Here is a 22,772-nt window from a genome sequence, read left to right as displayed (position 1 = left end):
TCACGAGGTCAGGAGATCGAAACCACCCTGGCTAACACGGTGAAACCCCCGTCTCTACTAAAAATACAAAAAAAATATCCGGGCATGGTGGCAGGTGCCTGTAGTCCTAGCTACTCGAGAGGCTGAGGCAGGAGAATGGCATGAACCTGGGAGGCGGAGCTTGCAGTGAGCCAAGATCGCACCACTGCACTCCAGCCTGGGTGACAGAGCGAGACTCCGTCTCAAAAAAAAAAAAAAAAAAGAATGTAGGAAAAGCTCCAGCCAGAGCAGAGCTGAAAGTGCATACCCAGGAGAGGCCCCAAACATGTGGCAAGTGCAAGAAGAGCTTTAGTTCTGGCTCGGACCTCACCATGAATTGCACCAGGGAGAGGTGATATCATTGCCTTGACTGTGAGAACACTTTACATGCACCACTGGGATGGTGCATGGAAGAATCCACACTGAAACAAAACTGTAACATGTAGTGAGAGTGGCAGAAGCTTCAGGCCAAGCTCAGCTCTCATCACCACCAGGTAGCTCCACTGAAGAGCAATTCCACCCTTACGGCGAGTGTGGGAAAAGCTTCACGTCAAGCTCATGCTTCACTGTGCACCAAGAATCCGCCTGGGGAGAGACCCTACAGTGTAATGGGTGTGAAAAGGCTTCCAGCCTCAGCATGACATTTGTGGTAGACAGAAGAGAAGCCCTGTAAATCCTGGAGGTGGGAAAGTTTGGGCCACAGCATTAGCTTAATTTTACATTATAGAATCTACCTGAGAGATAAACCTTACGAGTGTCATGCATGGGAGAAGAGATTTGGTGGAGACCTCATCTTTTAAGATGCCAGAAAACCCACATCTCAGGAGTGACGTGACAGAGAAAAGCTCTAAAAGACTAGGTTTCTGGCCGGGCACGGTGGCTCACGCCTGTAATCCCAGCACTTTGGGAGACCGAGGCGGGCGGATCATGAGGTCAAGAGATCGAGACCATCCTGGCTAACACAGTGAAACCCTGTCTCTACTAAAAGTACAAAAAATTAGCTGGGTGTGGTGGCGGGTGTCTGTAGTCCCAGCTACTCGGGAGGCTGAGGCAGGAGAATGGCATGAACCCAGGAGGTGGAGCTTGCAGTGAGCCAAGATCATGCCACTGCACTCCAGCCTGGGCGACAGTGCAAGACTCCGTCTCAAAAAAAAAAAAAAAAAAAAGGACTCGGTTTCTGCTGGGGTCAGTGGCTATCACATGTAATTCCAGCACTTTCAGAGGTCAAAATGGGAGGATCACTTGAGGCCAGGCGTTCAAGACTAGCCTGAGCAACATAGCAAGACCTCAACTCTACAAAAAATTTTAAAAATTAGGAAGGCTCAGTGGTGCACCCATAGTCCTTGCTATTCAGGAGGCTGAGGCAAGAGGATCACCTGAGCCCAGGAGTTCAAGGCTGCAGTGAGCTGTGATTGTGCCACTGTACTCCAGCCTGGGCAACAGGGAAAGACCCTGTCTCGGGAAAAAAAAAAAAAAAAAAAGACTAGATTTCCTTGGTCATAAGCAACAATACCCAGCAAAGGATAGAAACCACTATTCCAAAGCTGTGTGTCTTGTGAATAAAATACCACATGAGCGAAGACATGTGGTGTTTTCCTTCACCCCAGGGTTAATTACATGGTGTTGAATAGATAGCCCAGGCAGGGGAGAGAGTGTGTGTTTTCACTTCCCATGTCCTATCTTCACATGTCAGCCAGTGGAAAAAATACTGAGCAAGGGTCAGGGATGTCGAGACCAAGGGAAGATTCCCTGATAGGAAGGGACATAACCCTTGAAATATAACAGCGTTATCTAAGCCACAAATGCTGATTTTAGGGTGACCTCTGAGAGTTTTCTCTTGACCTCCACTCATCACTCTTTGGCTTTATTTGCTGGCCCTGGCTAAGCACGTGGGCTCCCTCAGGGAAATATCATCGAGGTTAACAATCATGCTTAGGTTTTTAAGAAATACAAGAGTTTTCTGTACTAGTACTGAATGATTATTATGTAGAGAATGTATATCATCAAAGCAAAAGGGAAAAAAATAAGGCCGGGCGTGGTGGCTCATGCCTGTAATTCCAGCACTTTGGGCAGCTGAGGCAGGTGGATCACCTGAGGTCAGGAGTTCAAGACCAGCCTGGCAAACATGGTGAAACCCCATCTCTACCAAAAAATACAAAAATTAGCTGGGCGTGGTGATGGGTGCCTATAGTCCCAGCTACTCGGGAGGCTGAGGCAGGAGAATTGCTTGAACCCAGGAAGTGGAGATTGCAGTGAGCTGAGATCATGCCACTGCACTCCAGCCTGGGGGACAGAGTGAGACCCTGTCTCAAAAAACAGGAAAAAAGGTAATTTTCTTCCCTCTTTTTTATTATTACTTTGAGCTGCCAAAGTACTTTTTTTTTCTTTTTGCCTACTTTCTCATTTGTAGTGCAGACTCTGTAAACCTGCCTTTTCCCCACTCTCTAACATGCCATCCATGCCTGGTAATGCTTTGGTGTTCTCTTACTTTAGGTATGATTGTTTTCACTACCCCCAGTGCTCCTAATGCAATTCCCCTCAGCCAGTTTTTCCTCTATGTCCCTTCTTTTGGAATTTTCAGATAGCCCTAGTGGGTCCACAGACATTCTGAGATTGTGCATCAGACTCAAAATATGGACTTTTCTGGGGGAAAGGCCAGTGGATTTCAACAGAGTCTAAGAAGGCTACCTTATCCCCAAAATGTTAAGACCAATTGCTTTAGGAAGTCTTTAATGTTCTTATGGGTTTTTCTTCCTAAAGAGACAGCAGTGCCAGGTGTTAGCAGCTCATGCCTGTAGTCCCAACACTTTGGGAGGCCGAAGTGGGCTGAAGTCAGAGGATCGCTTGATCTGTTGCCCAGGAGTTTGAGATGAGCCTAGGCAACATGGCAAAACCCCATCTCTACGAAAATGCAAAAATCAGCCAGGCACGATGGTGTGCGCCTATGGACCCAGCTACTCAGGAGGCTGAGGTGGAAGGATTGCTTGAGGTCAGGAGTTAAGAGACCAGCCAGGGCAACATGTGAGAGCCCGTCTCCTCACACAAAAAAATTAAAAATGATGGTGAGCACCAAGAATGATGGTGAGCACCTGTAGTCCCTGCTGCTCAGGAGGTCAAGGTGGGAGGATCACTTGAGCCCAGGAAGTCGAGGGTATAGTGAACCATAGTCACACCATTGCACTCCAGCCTGGGTGACAGTGTGAGACTCTGTCTTAACAACAACAACAAAAAAAGCAGATTTTAATCATTTCCCCCTTTTTCACTTTTAACAAATGGAAATAACTCAATGTAAAAATTAACTGTTTCATATTCCAATTGATCGCCTTAGAGCTATACTGTTCCATCGGTGTCAGGTTCACGACTACGCCAACTGTCATGCCCAGGGTCAGGTTCCAACTCATGCTGAGGTCCAAAGGGAGTGAGTGGATGAGCAGATAGCTGAAAACACTCAGGGGGCCGTAGGCAGGTGAAATGTAGTTTTATTTAGCAGCTCTCATCAGCAGCTCACTTACACTAGTTCTCTTATACTGTCCGCCTTGTCTCGGCTGCTTAGTCAGGTGGCTCCCACACACAGCTGTGCGGCTGGCTCTTCAATACCAGCTACTTAGGAGGCTGAGGCAGGAGAATCGCTTGAACTCAGGAGGCAGAGGTTGCAGTGAGCCGAGATCGCACCACTGCACTCCAGCCTGGGCGAGAGAGTAAGACTCCACCTCAAAAAAAAAAAAAAATCCTTAATTTGCTAATATTCACAAAGGAGAATACACTTGTGCATTCATTTCCCAGGTCTGCTGTAACAAAGTACCACAAACTGGGTGGTTTAAAACAATAAAAATGTATTGTCTCTCAGTACTGGAGTTTAGAAGTCAGAAACTAAGGTGTCAGCAGGTCTATCCCTGAAACTTGCAAGGGAAACCTTGGCTCTTCATAGCTTCTGGTGGTTTGCTGGCAATCTTTGGCATTCCTTGGCTTGCAGCTGCATAACCCCAGTCTCTGCCCTTGCCATCACGTGACCTTCTCTCTTGTGTGCCTGTGTCCACACAGTCAGCTTCTCATAAGGACATCAGTCACTGGATTAGGGGCTCATCCCATCCCAGTAAGATCTTGTCTTTTTTTTTTTTTTTTTTTGAGACAGAATCTCACTCTGTTGCCCAGGCTGGAGTGCAGTGGCGCGATCTCAGCTCGCTGCAACCTCCGCCTCCCAGGTTCAAGCGATTCTCCCTGCCTCAGCCTCCAGAGTAGCTGGGTTCAAGCGATTCTCCCTGCCTCAGCCTCCAGAGTAGCTGGGATTACAGGCGCCCGCCACGCCCAGCTAAGTTTTGTATTTTTAGTAGAGTCGCGGTTTCACCATATTGGCCAGGCTGGTCTCGAACTCCTGAACTCAAGTGATCCACCTGCCTCGGCCTCCCAAAGTGCTGGGATTACAGGTATGAGCCACCATGCCCGACCGAGACCTTGTCTTAACTAATTATATCTGCTATGGTTCTATCTCCAATAAGGTCACATTCTGAGGTACTAGGGGCTGGGACTTCAATAATTCCTTCTGGCTGGGGAGAAGTGGAGAACACAGTTTATGACAACTTGTAATTTGCACCTATCTAATCACACCAAACAGATCTGAAAGAGTTGTCAAAAAGAGGCTAATATCCTGATAAGGGACGGCCAATATGAATTTATACGAAACATGGTAAGAAGGGGCATAGTTTGGCTTCAAGCCAAACTTGAAGTAAAGTAGGACTTCATTTTTAAGGAGGCAAAAATTCCTGTTGAAAGTCTTTGCTTTCACCTTCACCCCAATGGTTTTTTTTTTTCTTATTTTTCTTTTTCTTTCCTTCTTTTTTTTTTTTTGACGGAGTCTTACTCTGTCGCCCCGGCTGGAGTGCAGTGGCATGATCTCGACTCACTGCAACCTCTACCTGCCAGGTTCAAGCGATCCTCCCACCTCACCCTCTTGATTAGCTGGTAATACAGGCGCCTGCCACTACACCCAGCTAATTTTTTGTATTTTTAGTAGGGATGGAGTTTCACCACGTTGGCCACACAGTCAGCTTCTCATAAGGACACCAGTCACTTTGGATTAGGGGCTCATCCCATCCCAGTAAGACCTCATCTTCTTTTTTTTTTTCATCAGTTCAAGACTGATGGTCCTCACTCTCGACCTCAAGTGATCCACATGCCTCGGCCTCCCAAAGTGCTGCGATTACAGGCATGAGCCACTGTGCCTGGCCCACCCCAATGTTTTAAAGAGACTGGGCACAATGCTGCAGAAGAATTCTGAAACACTATTCCATTATTTCATTTATTTATTTATTTATTTGCAATAGGGTCTTGCTCTGTTGCCCAGGCTAGCGTGCAGTGGTGTGATCATAGCTCACTGCAGCCTTTAATTCCTGGGCTCAAGTGATCCTCCCACCTCAGCTTCCCAAGTAACTAGGTCCAGATGCATGCAGCATCACACCCAACTAATCTATTTTATTTTTTGTAGACGGTGGGGCACTGGCAGAGTAGGGAGGATCTCACTATGTTGCCCAGGCTGATCTTGAATTCCTGGGCTCAAGCAATCCTCCTGCCTTGGCCTCTCAAGATGCTGGGATTACAGGCATGAGCCACAGTGCCTGGCCTTATTCTGCCTATTAAAGACAGCACCTTTTAATGGCTGTTGGTTTAAAGAGTGTATGAACCAAGCATGATGGCTCATGCCTATAATCCCAACATTTTTAGGAGGCAGAGACAGGAGTATTCCTTGATCCCAGGAGTTCAAGACCAGCCTGGGCAACATAGTGAGACCCCATCTCTACCAAAAATAGAAAATAAATAGCCTGGTGCTGTGGCCCATGTCTGTAATGCCAGCACTTTGGGAGGCTGAGACGGGTGGACTGCTTGAGCTCAGGAGTTTGAGACCAGTCCAGGCAACATGGCAAAACCCTGTCTCTACCAAAAATACAAAAATGAACCACGTATGGTGGCACATGCCTCTGGTCCCAGCTACTTGGGAGGCTGAGGTGGGAGGATCGCTGGCACCCGGGAAGTTGAGGCTGCAGTGAGCTGTAATCATGCCACTCCACTCCAGCCTGGGTGACAAAGCGAGACCCTGTCTCAAAAAACAAAAAACAAACAAACAATGGTCCCCATGGCCACATGCCCACTGCTGCACCTCTGGCTGTAATGTGAATGGTCTGGGGTGATGTTATATAATAACCAGCCCCTGCAAACCAGGATAGCCACTACCAAGCTTCTCAGTGATGCTGATGGCCCCCCAACCAGGGCATTCCTTGGAACCTTGGTAAACAGAATGCTCTCCAGACCCTCCTAAGGAACATAACTGAAGGTGGGTTGCTTGGTCTTATCTTCTAGTTCCATCCTAGTTTGTGTATGTATGAATCTTTGGATCCCTTTGTTAAGTCTGCCATGGTTTTGTCATCTCTACGTCATTTAATGTGGGCCACTGACTTTTCTAAGCTTTCAAGAATCACTCCAAGGCCAGGTGCAGTAGCTCATGCCTGTAATCCCAACATTTGGGAGGCCAAGGCTGGAGGATCACTTGAGCCCAGGAGTTCGAGACCACTCTGGGCAGCATAGGGAGATACCATCTCTCCAAAAAATGTTTTTTTTTTTTTTTTTTTTTTTTTTAGACACTGTCGCTCTGTCAACTGGGCTAGAGTGCAGTGGCGTGATCTCAGCTCACTGCAACCTCTGCCTCCCGGGTTCAAGCGATTCTCCTGCCTCAGCCTCTGGAGTAGCTGGGACTATAGGCATGCGCCACTATGCCCAGCTAATTTTTGTATTTTAAGTAGAGACCGGGTTTCACCATGTTGGTTGGCCAGGATGGTTTCGATCTCTTGACCTCGTGATCTGCCCGCCTCAGCCTCCCAAAGTGCTGGGTTTATAGGCATGAGCCACCGCGCCCAGCTAAAGTATGTTTTTTAAAAATTAGCCACTCATGGTGGCATGTGCCTGTAGTCCCAGCTATTCAGGAGGCTGAGGTGGCTAGACCACTTGAGCCCGGGAGGTCAAGGCTGCAGTGAGCTGTGATTGCACCACTGCACTCTAGCCTGGGCAGCAGAGCAAGACCCTGTCTATAAAAAAATTAAAAAGCTACCAAGAAGGTCCTCTGACACACACTTGGCATTAAATTGGTGGTTATTTGCCCTGTCATTTTCTTCTCTTCAAGGATTCAGTGACTTTCAGCAAGAGCCACCCAATTCCATAATCTTTATTTTCCTGTTTGTCCCAAACCTCTACAAGTCAATAGATCGCTTTCCACCTGTATCTCATCCCAGTTCCCCACAAGTGAATGACTTAGTGACTGGACAGGTACCACATGCCAGGACTATTAACAGTGATGCGGGTCTTCACTCCCTCCTGGCGAGTGACCAACTCCACAATCCACTCTCACAGCAGCTTCCTATGACCACTTGTGGCACCAAATGTCTTAGATCAGGTTCTCTAAAGCAGAGCCTGAGACAGGGATTCAGAACCATGTGATTGACAGTGTGATTTATTTGGGAAACGCCTTTGAGGGAGGGAATGAAACAGGATAGAGAAGGGAGAGAGCTTAGCACGGATGAAGGCTCAGAAAAAGTCTAGCTTGGCCTGATCCAAGGGTGCCAGAGCAGTCATAGCACCCTGGAGTTTTCTCCGCTTTAATCAAATGAACCAGGTGTTGGGGTGTAGAGAGGAAGTGACTCCTGGGTGAGGTGAGATGGCTCTCATCTCCTGAGGGCAATTCTCCAGTTTCTGGAGAACAAGAGCTGTGAGCACTTGCAGCCCAAACTCAGAGCAGCTGGGGATGGGGGTCTCAGCTTGGTAGAGGGGACTGGACAGGGCACCACAGTGTACAACACATATGGTCAACAAATATTTATTGGGCATTTATTGTAAGCCAGGCAAGTCAGCAGAAACGGCCTGAGCAGTGCCCAAGAGCACTCACTCACTCTCCCTAGCAAACAGGCTCAGAACTCTCTCACACATGTCATCCTCTTTCCCACTCAAAACTCCCACCCCAACCTTCCTGGAAGGCAGGGCTAACAGGACCTCCTGCCTGCCTGCTCACGACTGATTACTTTCAATCCCAGCTGCAATGCAAACTGAAACTCATTCTGTATATCACCACTCTACAGGAGAGGTCTATTTCTGGGGCACCCAGAAGTCAGCACACATACTGCTGGGACCAGGACTCGTAATTCGCCTTGGTCCAACTCCTTCTATGGGTTTAGCTGCCCTCATTCCTGTGGGTAATACAAGATCAAACAGTCCACAACTTTGCCTGTCTTCTCTGCTCCCCTAAGGTCCCTCTCCCTTCGCCGTAAGATGTGACTGACCAGTACAGTTTCTCCTGAATTGACAAACTGAACTACTCCTTCTACCGGCTAAACCCTGACATCAGTAGAATCAAACCAAAAACAAGGTAGAGTGTTTCACAGAGAAGTGGTGGATTGAATAAGGCAGCAGAAACACATACCATCCAGCCCCTGAACCTGAATTTTGCCAAAACAGAGATACTTTAAGTCCATTTCTTTTCAAAGGGGTTAATGCTCAAAGTGGGAATAGTGACTAGGGTATTCTAGTGGTTGGAATAATAATTTCTAGAAAAGGTTCATTGCTGAGGTACCAAAACAGACATCATGCTAAGGAATTCTTTTACTGTGCGCTTCCCTGAATAGATACGCCGTCAAACAAGGCAGAAGCTACAAATAAAGCTTACTTCTACTGAACTCATGAAGCTGTTCCTAGTGTCAGTTTTGAGTTTCAAGTGAAGACTGAATGTCAACTGCAGGCTTTCCGAATTCCTCGACCATGTCCATCCATGGATTCTCTTCTTGTCTAGATTTCCAAGCATGAAGATGCTAACTAAAGCATTTCTCAATGGGGAACACGAAAAGATTTCTATTATTGTGGGTTCTCCGGTGTTCCTAAAGGCTGAGTTATAACTAAAGGATTTCAACCTATTTGTGAGTTTGATGGTAACGCTGGAAAAATGCTTGAAGTTGTTACTTTGCTCATTATAGGAGTATGGTTTCCCTCCAGGAAGGTTTCTCTAAAATTAAGAGCTATTCTACAACAGAGACCCCTCTACACTTAAGGTATTTATGGGATCTGTCCTCTCATGGCTTCTCAGGTGTTTAAAGAGGCTACAACTCCAGCTGAAATTCATTCCACATTCTTTACATTGAAAAGGTTTCTCACCAGTATGGATTCTCTGATGTTGATTAAGATGTGACTTCAGAGTGAAGCCTCTGCCACATTCATGACATTGATGGGATTTTGTGCTGGAGTAGATTTTTTGATGTTGTTTGGTGTGGGAACACTGGCCAACATTTTCTCTACATATATCACATTGATAGGGCTTCTCTGCTGTATGAGTTCTGTAATGCTGAATGAGGTCTGAGCTATAACCAAAGGCTTTTCCACAGATATCACACTGATAAGGCTGCTCTTGTAACTCAATCTTCTTGTCTTCAATCACTGTCAAGTTCCAACTATATGCTTCCTCACAGATGCCATTTTTTTCATTTTTCTGACCCATGTGGAGCACCTGATGTTCAATTAGGCTAACGTACTGAAAAAAGATTTCCCCACATTCACGACACTGATGGGATTTCTCTCGGGAGTGGAGTCGAAGATGTCCAGCCAGGTGGGAACGCCTCCCAAAGCCTTTCCCACATTCGTTACACTTGAAGGGTCTCTCCCCACTGTGCACGCTCTGATGCTGAACAAGGTGGGACCTCACTCTGAAGGCTTTCCCACATAAGGGACAGGTGTAGGGCTTCTCACCTGTGTGGACGCGCTGATGCTGAGTTAGGTGCACGCGTTGGTTGTAGCTTTTCCCACATTCCTCACACCTGAATGGTTTCTCCCCAGTGTGTATTCTTTGATGTTGAATAAGATGTGCACTCTGAATGAAGCTTTTCCCACACTCGTTACATTTATGTGGTCTCTCTCCAGTGGAGGATTTTTTGTGGACATATGGGACTTCACTGTAGTTCATCCTCTTTGAAGATGGTTGTCCTAGTATCTCTTTCATGGGAATTCCCTGCTTTCTATCCAGCTTGCCTTGAAACTCACAGCCTTCTCCAAAATCTTGAACTTGAGAAACATTTCTTTGGGTTTTTCCAGATAGTTCCATGTCTGCTTCTGAATATTCTGAAATTTTCTTCTTAACACTTAATTTTGTGTTCTTACTTCTTTTGTCACTGCCTAAAAAAAATAAAGAGCAAGTGAAAATGTCATCAGTTCTTTTTTTTTTTTGAGATGGGGTCTTGCTCTGTCGCCCAGGCTAGAGTGCAATGATGCGATCTCGGCTCACTGCAACCTCTGCCTCCTGGGTTCAAGTGATTCTCCTGCCTCAGCCTCTCAAGTAGCTGAGACTACAGGCGTGCATGACCACACCCAGCTAATTTTTGTATGTTTAGTAGAGATGGGGTTTTGCCATGTTGGCCAGGCTGGTCTCAAACTCCTGACTTTGGGTGATCCACCCGCCTCAGCCTCCCAAAGTGCTGGGATTACAGGTTTAAGCCACCGTGCCTGGCCCATCAGTTCTTTTATAAAGGAAAAATAAACTGTCATAAAAAATGTTCATCAGATGAAACTATGATGTAACGGGAGTAACAGAGGTGGATGTGTGTGTGTACTTGATGCCAACAGGAATGTAAACAACAAACTTTTGGAATTTTCTGACGAAAAGAGCAAGACTCATCCACAGGATGGCAGAAAATATTTGCAAACTATGCATCAGACAAAGGACTAATATCCAGAATCTACAAGTAACTCTAACAAGTCAACAAGAAAAAAAAAATCCCATCAAAAAGTAGGCAAATGACATGGAGACAGTTCTCAAAATAATATATACAAATGACCAACAAACATGAAAAAAATGCTGAACATCACTAATCATCAGGAAGGTGCAAATTAAAGCCACAATAAGGTACTGCCTTACTCCTGCAAGAATGGCCATTATTAAGAAGTCAAAAGGCCGGGCGTGGTGGCTCACACCTGTAATCCCAGCACTATGGGAGGCCGAGGCGGGCAGATCACCTGAGGTCAGGAGTTCGAAACCAGCCTGGCCAACATGGTGAAACCCACATCTCTACTAAAAATACAAAAATTAGCTGGGCATGGTGGCGGGCGCCTGTAATCCCAGCTACTCAGGAGGCTGAGGCAGGAGAATCGCTTGAACCCAGGAGGCTGAGGTTGCAGTGAGCCGAGACTGCGCCATTGCACTCCAGCCTGGGCAACAGCAAGACTCCATCTCAAAAAAAAAAAAAAAAAAAGGCCGGGTGCAGGTGGCTCACGCCTGTAATCCCAGAACTTTGGGAAGCCGAGGTGGGTGGATCACGAGGTCAGGAATTCAAGACCAGCCTGACCAAGACAGTGAAACCCCATCTCTACTAAAAATACAAAAATTAGCTGGGCATGGTGGTGGGTGCCCTGTAATCACAGCTACTCCAGAGGCTGAGGCAGAGAATTGCTTGAACCCAAGAGGCAGAGGTTGCAGTGAGCCAAGATTGCGCCACTGCACTCCAGCCTGGGCAACACAGCGAGACTCCATCTCAAAAAAAACAAAGAAGTCAAAAAACAATAGATGTTGGCATGGATGTGGTGAAAAGGGAACGCTTATACATTGCTGGTGAGAGATAAATTAATACAACTTCTGTGGATAACAGTATGGAGACTTCTTCAAGAACCAGAAGTAGATCTGCCATTTGATCCAGCAATTCCACAACTGGGTATATCTACACAAAGGAAAAGACAATATACCAAAAAGACTGTAAGCGCCTGTCTTCTGCAGCACAATTCACAACTGCAAAGATATGGAGCCAATCTAAGTGCCCGTTGAGCAATGAGTTGATAAAGAAAATGTAGCAGGCTGGGTGTGGTGACTCGTGCCTATAATCCCAGCACTTTGGGAGGCTGAGGCAGGTGGATCACCTGAGGTCAGGAGTTCAAGACCAGCCTGACCAACATGGTAAAACCTCATCTCTACTAAACATACAAAAATTAGCAAGGGATCGTGGTAGGTGCCTGTAGTCCCAGCTACTCGGGAGGCTGAGGCAGAAGAATCGCCTGAACCCAGGAGGCAGAAGCTGCAGTGAGTTGAGATCACATCACTGCACTCCAGCCTGGGTGACAGAGTGAGACTCCATCTCAAAAAAGAAAAACAAAAAACAAATACATAACTGGGTGGTGAGAACTGACAAAAACTGGAAGAATGAGAGTGAAGGATGATGAAGAGGGTATGCAGTCAGGGAATATCTGACTAGGAGTCAGGAAATAAGGCAAAATGAGCCAACAAGAAGCATTGTCAGAGGGTGGGTGATACAGCAATCCCTGCCCCCTTCACCCTTAGCCAACATTCTAGCCTCAGTTTTCCTCCCCCGGCATGTCATCCTTCTCCTTTGGGAATGCTCATCACCTTTACTATCTGCTACCCCCACCAGACCATCGGCTGCATGAGAGCATGGACTGTATCTCTGTTCTGGTCACTGCAGATCCTGTGCAACTAGCAACACAGACTCTCAATAATATGGCTGGATGTGCAAAACATGTATTCCCCCTTTGATCCAGAAAAATGAGGGAGGACCGGGCATGGTGGCTCACACCTGTAACTCCTAGCACTTGTGGAGGCCAAGGCTGGAGGATCGCTTAAGCCTAGAAGTTCAAGACCAGCCTGGGCAACAGAGCCAGACCCCTTCTCTACAAAAAATACATAAATTAGCTGGGTGTGGTGGTGAACACTTGTAGTCCCAGCTATGCAGGAAGCTGAGGTGGGAGGATTAGTTCAGCCCAGGAAGTGGAGGCTGCAGTGAGCTGAGATCCCGCTACTTTACCCTAGCCTGTGTGACAGAGCAAGACCCTATCTCAAAATACAAAAACGCCCCCGCCCCACAAAAAAAATGTGGAAGGCAAGTGAGTATTCACTGGGAAACTAGCCATAGAAACAATTGCAGGGAAGGTAGAAAACAAAAGATAACTATTTTAAAGCGATTGCTTTTTCAAGTCCAAAGCGCTATTGGTGGATTTTCCAAATGAGGGAATCATCGAGTAGAACGGGAAAACACTAGCTGAGAGGATAGCTCAGCTCAAACCCAGAACTTTAAAGACACTTTACTGACTTCTGTGCCATGGTGGAAGATGCAGCGTGGCTGTAAACATCAAAGGCAGAATTAAAAAAAAAAAAAAAAAAAAGAAAAACATTTTGGCTGGTCTTAGAATCATCTGAAGAATATTAGTAAGGGCCTTTAAGTTCACAGCACAGTTTATGACGATCTCATTCACAGATAAATTTACTGTCATTTGAACAGATGTTTAAAAATACTGGCCCGGCATGGTAGCTCACACCTATAATCCCAGCACTTTGGGAGGCCAAGGCGGGTGGATCACTTGAGGTCAGGAGTTCGAGACCATCCTGGCCAATATAGTGAAACCCCATCTCTACTAAAAATACAAAAAAAAATTAGCCAGGTATGGTGGCAAATGCCTGTAATCTCAGCTACTCAGGAGGCTGAGGCACGAGAATCGCTTGAACCTGGGAGGCAGAGGTTGCAGTGAGCTGAGATCGTGCCATTGCACTCCAGCCTGGGCAACAAGAGTGAAACTCCGTCTCAAAAAAAGAAAAGAAAAGAAAAAAAGAAAAAGTCACAGGCATAAACAGTTATCGGGACAAAAGAGAAAAAAATTGAAGTTCAACAACTGGGAACACTTGAGTAAATTACAATGCCACCACACAATGGCAGACTGTCAGAAATAAAAAGGAGGGCTGAACAGCCCTGGAAAATGTGTACGCTTAATATTTAATTCTGAGTACGACTACGTGAAACAGACTTATAAAAAAAAAAGGAAACATACTAAGTAATAACAGTTCTATTAGTTAGGGTGATGTGATTATGGGTGATTTATTTTTTCTTTTTATTTTCTCCAAGCTTCCTGTACTACTGTTATTTTATTGGGTTTGTGTTTGTTTGTTATTTGAGAAGTCTCACTCTGTTAGCCAGTCTGGAGTGCAGTGGCTATTCACAGACACATTTATAGCTCACTGTAGTCTTGAACTTCTGGGCTAAGAGATCCTCCCACCTCAGCCTTCCGAGGAGCTGCAACTACAGGCACATGCCACCATGCCCAGGTAATTTTTAAATTTTTTTGTAGAGACAAGGTCTTGCTATGTTGCCCAGGGTGGTCTTGAATGCCTGGCCTCAAGTAATCCTCCTAGCTCAGCCGCCTCCCAAAGCACTGAGATTACAGGTGTGAGCCACTGTACCCAGGCTATTGTTTTAAAATAAGTAAAATAACTAAATTGGGAAAAGGGGAAAGAGAGAAAAGCATATAAGAGAGCCAAATCCTCATTTACTACCATAGAAAGTCAACAGATAACATTTAAAATTGATGAGCCAACTAATAATAGTTTTATTTTAAAATACAGAATTACCAGAAGGAACCACTAACAGCTGAGAGCACAGCCAGCACAGTGGCTCATGCCTGTAATCCCAGCACTTTGGGAGGCCAAGGCAGGCAGATCGCCTGAGGTCAGGAGTTCAAAACCAGCCTAGCCAACATGGGGAAACCCTGTGTCTACTAAAAACACAAAAATTACCCGGGCATGCTGGTGCGCGCCTGTTGTCCCAGCTACTTGGGAGGCTGAGGCAGGAGAATCGCTTGAACCGGGGAGGCAGAAGTTGCAGTGAGCTGAGATCTCGCCACTGCACTCCAGCCTGGGCGACAGAGCGAGACTGTCTCAAAAAATAAATACATAAGAACCAAATAAACGATAACCTTTGCCTCTTCCTACCCCCCCCAGTATCACCACCCATCTGTCCTGTTGTACCGTACTAATAAAACACCTTTTGCTTTTCGCCTCCATTTATCCCCCGGATATAAACTCCTCACACGTACATCTCTGGGATTTCTCCCTGAAGTGGCGTTTTAGGTGTTCGATCAGATGCGAATGGCGACCGAAGTTCTTCCCACACTCATTGCAGCCATAGGGCCTCTCTCCGCTGTGGACACTGTGGTGCTGAACCAGGTGGGAACTCACCCGGAAAGCCTTTCCGCACACCTGACATTTGTAGGGTTTCTCCCCTGTGTGGACGCGCTGGTGCTGGGTGAGGTGCACCCGCTGATTGTAGCTCTTCCCACATTCTCCGCACTTAAACGGTTTTTCTCCAGTGTGGATGCGCCGATGCTGAATAAAGTTTGAGGCTTGGAGGAAGAATTTGCCACAATCGCTGCATCTGTGCCCTCTCTCGCCATGTGTGCTTTGCTTAGGGCTGATGTCTGTGATTGCATCCAGATCCCTTTTCTGGGAAGGATTCTGCCTTGATTTCCCCACAGTGGGGTTGACCTGCCACCTTTGTACCATGCCTTTAAGGTCACTGACTTCTGCAAAGTCTGGATCCTGAGGAACGCTCCTTTCGGTGTGTTCTGGCGCCACCCAGTGTGATTCAGAGTCATCAGAAATCTGCTTCACTATGAGCTCCATATTGTCCCTGGACTCATAACCTGAAATAACAGAGGGAGAATTAAAAAATGAGCTTTTCCTTGAATTTGAAGAAATAAAATGAGGGGATAATGAAGAGAAACTGACATGTGCTAGGGATCCATGATTCTGTAAAGGGACTTTTACAGTACAGGGATGGGATGAAAAATATTCAAGCAGAAAAGTGAGGGAGGTTAGGGAAGGAAGAGCTGGCAAAAAATGTTCAGAGGAAGGAGACTGAAAATCAGTCATTCCACTGAACGAAGAGGGTCTCCTCTCAGTGTGGCACTTACAAATACCTGTATCATGTTAAATGTTCTCTTGTGTGTGTGTGTGTGCGCGCGCGCGTGTATGTGTGTGTTTTGAGACAGGGTCTCACTCTGTCACCCAGGCTGGAGTGCAGTGGGGCAATCATGGCTCACTGCATCCTCAACCTCTTGGGCTCAAGCGATCCTCCCACCTCAGCCTCCCAAGTAGCTAGGACTACAGTTGCACACCACCATGCTCAGCTAATTTTTATATTTTTGTAGAGATGAGGGTCTCATTATGTTGCCCATGCTGGTTTCAAACTCCTGAGCTCAAGTGATCCTCCCACCTCAGCTTCCCAAAGTGCTGGGATTACAGACGTGAGCCAACGCGACTGGGCAATATTCTTTTTTTTTTTTCTTTTGAGACGGAGTCTCACTCTGCCACCCAGGCTGGAGTGCAGTGGCGCGATCTCGGCTGACTGCAACCTCTGCCTCCCGGGTTCAAGTGATTCTTCTGCCTCAGCCTCCCAAGTCACTGGGACTACAGGCGCACATCACCACGCCCAGCTAATTTTTGTAATTTTAGCAGAGACAGGGTGTCACCATATTGGCCAGGTGGTCTCGAACTCCTGACCTAGTGATCTGCCCGCCTCGGCCTCCCAAAGTGCTGGGATTACAGACATGAGCCACCGCGCCCAGTCACGACTGGGCAATATTCTTAATAAAACTGGATAGCAGGTTATGCAGCTAACCCCATCTTCACCTTCCTCTTCCTGTGAATTCATAGCCTAGAAAAGAAAGGTGATCTTTCTAGGTTTCTCAATGCCCAAAGGATTTCAGTTTGGTATGAATTAATCTAAAAGAAAAAAGACATTCTTTCTATATCCTGAGAAGAACCTACTACTTTCAAGAGCTAGGTTAATGTTCAGCAGTCACTGATAGAACCGTGGATGTTTCAGTGGCTATAATTAGTTCCTTTGTTCAACTGTATCAGCAAGATACTTTACTCAAAACACTGATGTTTTAATATGGTTTGCAGAGACAAATCTTCAGTAGTTAACAAAAAATAGAGTATTGGCCAGGCACAGTGGCTCATGCCTGTAATCCCAGCACTTTGGGAAGCCAAGGCGGGCGGTTCACTTGAGGCCAGGAGTTCGAGACCAGCCTGACCAACACAGCGAAACCCCGTCTCTACAAAAAATACAAAAATTATCAGCCGGGTGTGGTGGCTCACGCCTGTAATCCCAGCACTGTGGGAGGTCGAGGTAGGCGGATCACTTGAGGTCAGGAGTTTGAAACCAGCCTGGCCAACATGATGAAAACCTGTCTCTACTAAAAATACGAAAAAAATTAGCCAGGCGTCGTGGCACACACCTGTAATCCCAGCTACTCAGGAGGCTGAGGCACGAGAATCGCTTGAACCCAGGAGGCAGAGGTTGCAGTGAGTTGAGATCACACCACTGCACTCCAGTCTGGGTGACAGAGCGAGACTCTGTCCCAAAAAAAAAAAAAAAAACCCAGGGAGTATCATGGCCTATTAAGAATGTCCCAAGATGTTTTCATGAGGAGAGTTTTCTGTATTATATTAGTAATAAGAGCTAAACATTTGCTGAGTGCTATGAGTCCAGCACTACACTAAGTACTTTACAATTTTATGGTATATTTAATCCTTACAATGACCTTTAAGGGAGCTACCATAATCCTTTTTTGATATAGTCAGAAGTTATAATTCCTAAACTATGAAGACAATTTTAATTTTAATTTACCATATAGCTACTTTTACTTACCTTCCTAAAAAGACACTGAAACAGTAAAAACAGGGATATAAACAAAAAACCCTATCACAAAACCAGACTTTTTATGTTTTTTCCTCCCTCATTTAACTATGCAGCTAATCCCAGCTACCATAGTATTTTTTTTCTCTTTTATTCATATCTACTGGTCTCACACATTGATTGATTGATTGATTGATTGATTGATTTGAGACTGGGTCTTGCTCTGTCACCCAGGCTGGAACACAGCAGCACAATCACAGCTTACTGTTACTTCTAACTCCCTGGTTGAAGCGATCCTCCCACCTCAGCCTCTACAGGCATGCACCACCACGCCTAGCTAATTTTTGTATATTTTGTAAGGGTTTGTCTCACTATGTTGCCCAGGCTGGTCTCGAACTCCTGGCCTCAAGTGATCCTCCTTCCTTGGCCTCCCAAAGTGCTGAGATTACAGGCATGAGTTCCTGCGTTCAGCAGGCAGCCTACTCACTTCCTCCTCCCCTTGTCTCTCAGTGGAGACATGTCTCTCGAGCCAAGGTCAGTCCTTCCTCCTTCCTGTACCCCAGATCTCACCATACCTTCCTGCTTTCCAGGGATCTCCCAACATCAGCTAACTGCCCCTCCATTTTTTTTTTTTTTTTTTTTTTTTTTTGAGATAGGGTCTCACATTGTCACCTAGGCTGGAGTGCAATGGCATGATCTCAGCTCACTGCAACCTTCACCTCCCGGATTCAAGCAATTCTCCTGCCTCAGCTCCTAAGTAGCTGAGAGTACAGATGCGTGCCACCATGCCCGGATAATTTTTGTATTTTTAGTAGAGACAGGTTTTTGCCATGTTGCCCAGACTGGTCTCAAACTCCTGGCCTCAAGTGATCTGCCCACCTCAGCCTCCCAAAGTGCTGGGATTACAGGCATGAGACACCACGGCCCAGCCTGTCTGCTCCTCCTTGCCTCCATATTCTACTCTACTAGTTCTTCTCCAGAAGCATTTAAATATGCTGAAAATTTCTCCCATTAACAAAACATACGAGCCAGGCATGGTGGCTCACGCCTGTAATCCCAGCACTTTGGAAGGTCGAGGTGGTTGGATCACCTGAGGTCAGGAGTTTGAGACCAGCTTGGCCAAGGTGGTGAAACCTCATCTCTACTAAAAACAGAAAAATTAGGCGGCTGTGGTGGAGGGTGCCTGTAATCCCAAAATTACTCGGGAGCTACTCGGGAGGCTGAGGTGCGAGAATAGCTTGAACCCGGGAGGCAGAGGTTGCAGTGAGCCAAGATCGTACCACTGCACTGCTCCCTGGGCAACAGAGCGAGACACTGTCTCAAAAAAAAAAAAAGGGGAAACAAAAAACAATCCACCCATCCAACCCATTACTCTTTCAGTGACCAGGACTCTCTTCCCCTTTAGAGACAAAGTCCTTACATTCATCTACAATAGCTTTTTCAAATTCCACTCCTTTGCAATCTTCAAAGAAACTATCTCTTGTTCCCCAACACCCCTGCCACTCCACGGAAACTGCTGCCTCCAAGACTCATTTACTTATGTTGTAAAAATCTCACTTCCAAATCTGATGGGTACTTTCTTTGATTTTGACCTCTGGTGATGCTGTTATTAATAGAAATCCGCAGATGTGAAAAGAATCTAACATGGCCTTCCGAGAGAAGTAAAGGAGGCAGAAACCACTGGCCATGTAATTAATGTAGAATAGTGTATTGAAGTGATAAATACAGATGTTATAATGAAGAGATAGAGAATGAGAAAAACATCAGAAACTACACATTTAAAACTGCTTAGAGAATACCATAGAAAGAACTATGCCAAGAACCTCAAACTCTGAAATCCATTAGGTACCTATAAAGTAACTGAAAAAGATAAAGCAAGAGTAACAGGCTCAAATAAACAAGCAAGCTATTGGAAATTAATTTAAAAAGAAAAGAATTTTTAAAATTTGCATTAAATATAACATTTATACTATATGAGTAATTCACTGAGCTAAAAGGCCCCATGAAAAATCAATAATCATAAAATTATTGATTTAATCAATAATTTTAAAGCATAAATTTGATTTTTTTCCACAAAAATTAAAACATCAAAATAAAAAAAGACTACCAAGATCCCAATAGATTAATGAACAGAGGCATGCACAAATAAATCAAAAAGAGGAAATAAATATAAATAATATCAATAGTAATTAAAAATTGAAAATTTAAAAGAGCAGAGTCAGCTGTATACCTGTTAAATAAAAGCTTGTGAGTGAACTAAAACGGTTAAACAATGTAAACTGACATAATGTTTTTCAAAAGAAATTTTGCATTGTGGGCGGGGCATGGTGGCTCACACCTGTTAATCCCAACACTTTGGGAGGCCAAGCTGGGCAGATCACGAGGTCAGGAGTTTGAGACCAGCCTGGCCAATATGGTGAAACCCTGTCTCTACTAAAAATACAAAAATTAGCTGGGCATGGTGGCACATGCCTGTAACCCCAGCTATTCAGGAGGCTGAGGCAGGAGAATTGCTCGAAACCAGGAGGCAGAGGTTGCAGGGAGCTGAGATTGCGCCATTGTACTCCAGCCTGGGAGACAGAGTGAGACTCCATCTCAAAAAAATAAAATAATAAAATAAATATATTTTGTAGCGTGTATGTTTGCATCTGAAGTCTTCCAGTATGCCTGATAGAGTGGTTCTTCTAAAAGAATTTACTAAAAAAAGGCTAAAAGCTATAATCTCCAAAATGTTTGCAGGAGTGCTGAGATTTTTATAACTGCTCCAGACAGTACAATTAAATATTAGCTTCCAGGATTATAACTTAGTTAGAAATAGGGCCAGAAAATTCAAGAAGCGATATGACAGGTAAAATGTAGGTGCCAAGGCGAACATAATAAAATAGGTATCAGTGACTTAAGAATGGTAATGAAGTCCTCCAAGTAGCTGGGATTATAGGCGCCCGCCACCACGCCCGGCTGATTTTTGTATTTGTAGTAGTGATGGGGTTTCACCATGTTGGCCAGGCTGGTCTTGAACTCCTGACCTCAGGTGATCCACCCGCCTCAGCCTCCGGAAGTGCTGGGATTACAGGCATGAGCTACCACACCTGGCAAAATTATCCAATCTATTAAACAGTATAGTAACTACCAAAAATTTGTTAAAGTCCAAAGGACTCAAGTGATTCTCCCACCTCGGCCTCCCAAAGTGCTAGGATCACAGGTGTGAGCCACCACAGCCAACCCACTCTTATTTTAAAGCAGTAAAAAGTTAGCATCTGCTGGATTGCAAAAACAGTCCCCCCAAGTACTATCAGTGTTTAATCATACTCTTATTAAGATGGAAATGATCAGAATAAACTGAATAAGAAAAAAAAAATGAAGGCTGATTTATTCTTTTACAAAAAATAAAAAAAAGCAAAGTCATAGCACATAAAACATAAATGCCATTATAAGATGAGCCAGAAATACTCTTTACAAGATAACAAAATAAACATGTCCTAATCCATGCAGATGAAATAATCCTTACCCATGGAAGTAATACTCCCATAGTTCTCCTTCCTGTCATCCCTATAAAGGGACTTCTGGGACTGGTCCAAATGCCCCCATTCCTCCAGGATGAAGGATACAGCCACATCAGCCACCTCTTCAATTTTCACCAACTTCTGAAACAGGAGATCTCCACTAAATTCTCATTCCCTATGTCCAAATTTGGAGTGAGGGGAAGAACTGGGCTCATTAAGAAAAGAAACAGGGGGAGGAACTGTGCCTCAAAGAGGATGGGGAAGGACTAGGCAGAAAGGAAAAAGGCCAAAGGAATGAAGGTACCAACCCAAGATGGGCCTAGTCACTGGCTAAAGAAACAGAACTCTTGGTGAAGGTTCAGGATGGGTCCTCTCTGAGGGCAAAGGGGCACCAGCTCACCTGGGACCCAGTTGAGAGAAGTGAAGCTGTCAGCTCCTGGCTGTCCTTCAGGGGAAGGGAAGGAACTTGGAGAACAGGAAGGGCTAAGGGAGGAGAAAAAGAGGTTTAAGTGAGAACATCTTTGCCCGGTTCTCATTGCCATCATGTTCCTCTTATGCTCAGGAATCCATAATGGCCCCTACTGCGCCGAGGCCAAATTCTTCTGCCTGGCTGTCAAGACCCTCTAATTTCTGGATCCTCTCACACTCTGTTTTATTCCTCCTTTACCCTAGACTTCCTACTTTGGTCAGGCTAATCCCTGCTTGCCTTTCCGCTATAAAGGATGCATTCTGTGACCAGGCACAGTGGCTCACGCCTGTAATACCAGCACTTTGGGAGGTCAAGGGGGGCAGATCACTTGAGGCCAGGATTCAAGGCCATCCTGGCCAACAAGGCAAAATCCCATCTCTACTAAAAATACAAAAATCAGCCAGATGTGGTGATGCACGCCTGTAATCCTGGCTGCTTGAGAGGATAAGGCATGATAATCGCTTGAACCTAGGATGCAGAAGTTGCAATGAGCCAAGATTGCACCACTGCACTCCAGCCTGGGCAACAGAGTCAGCCACTGTCTCAGAAAAAAAAAAAAAAAAAAAATACTGGGCGTGGTGGCTCACGCCTGTAATCCTAGTACTTTGGGAGGCCGAGGCAGGAGGATCACAAGGTCAGCAGTTCGAGACCAGCCCGGCCTGTATGGTGAAACCCCACCTCTACTAAAAATACAAAAATTAGCCGGGTGTGGTGGCAGGTGCCTGTAGTCCCAGCTACTCAAGAGGCTGAGGCAGGAGAATTGCTTGAACCTGGGAGGTGGAGGTTACAGTGAGCCAAGATCGTGCCACTGCACTCCAGCCTGGGTGACAGAGCAAGACTCCGTCTCAAAAAAAAAAAAAAGGTGGGGGCCAGGTACGGTGGCTCACGCCTGTAATCCTAGCACTTTGGGAGGCCGAGGCAGGCAGATCACAAGGTCAGGAGTTAGAGACCAGCCTGGCCAATATGGTGAAACCTCATCTCTACTAAAAATGCAAAAATTAGCTGGGCATGGTGGCGGGCGCCTGTAGTCCCAGCTGCTCAGGAGACTGAGGCAGGAGAATCACTTGAACCCAGGAGGCGGAGGTTGCAATGAGCCGAGATCACACCACTGCACTCCAGCCTGGGTGACAGAGCAAGACTCCCTCTCAAAAAAAAAAAAAAAAAAAAAAAGGATGCATTCTGCTTTGCCAAGATCAAATTTTATTATCTCAAAGAACCACCAAATTCCCACATCTTCCATGAAACTGAAGCATTCCTAACAGTCCAGGGCTGCTCGAGCTTTAATGTACAAAT

At 45.7% G+C, this 22,772-nt stretch overlaps 1 protein-coding gene and 1 pseudogene across 8 annotated transcripts in view; one reads left to right on the top strand and one right to left on the bottom strand.

The window, feature by feature from the left end:
* LOC100419451 (zinc finger protein 3 pseudogene) lies at nucleotides 279–793 on the top strand (annotated as a pseudogene).
* ZKSCAN5 (zinc finger with KRAB and SCAN domains 5) overlaps nucleotides 6,620–22,772 on the bottom strand; it is a 30,039-nt gene continuing 13,886 nt past the window's right edge. For 3 of the 8 annotated variants that reach the window (NM_001318082.2, NM_145102.4, NM_014569.4), the window contains exons 4-7: nucleotides 21,411–21,493; nucleotides 21,016–21,151; nucleotides 14,902–15,507; nucleotides 6,620–10,212 (exon numbers count right to left, since the gene is read on the bottom strand). In NM_001318082.2, coding sequence (NP_001305011.1) covers nucleotides 9,071–10,212; nucleotides 14,902–15,507; nucleotides 21,016–21,151; nucleotides 21,411–21,493 — 1,967 coding nt within the window. In that variant the 3' untranslated portion in view covers nucleotides 6,620–9,070. The remainder of the gene's footprint in view (nucleotides 10,213–14,901; nucleotides 15,508–21,015; nucleotides 21,152–21,410; nucleotides 21,494–22,772) is intronic. The other 5 variants (XM_017011921.3, XM_017011922.2, NM_001318083.2 and 2 more) reach the window with 3 other exon arrangements.

Source organism: Homo sapiens, chromosome 7 (assembly GCF_000001405.40).
Source record: "Homo sapiens chromosome 7, GRCh38.p14 Primary Assembly".
NCBI classification, from domain to species: Eukaryota; Metazoa; Chordata; class Mammalia; order Primates; family Hominidae; genus Homo; species Homo sapiens.
The sequence above is the reverse complement of the archived record's forward strand: the minus strand, read 5'-3'. Positions and strand labels throughout refer to the sequence as shown.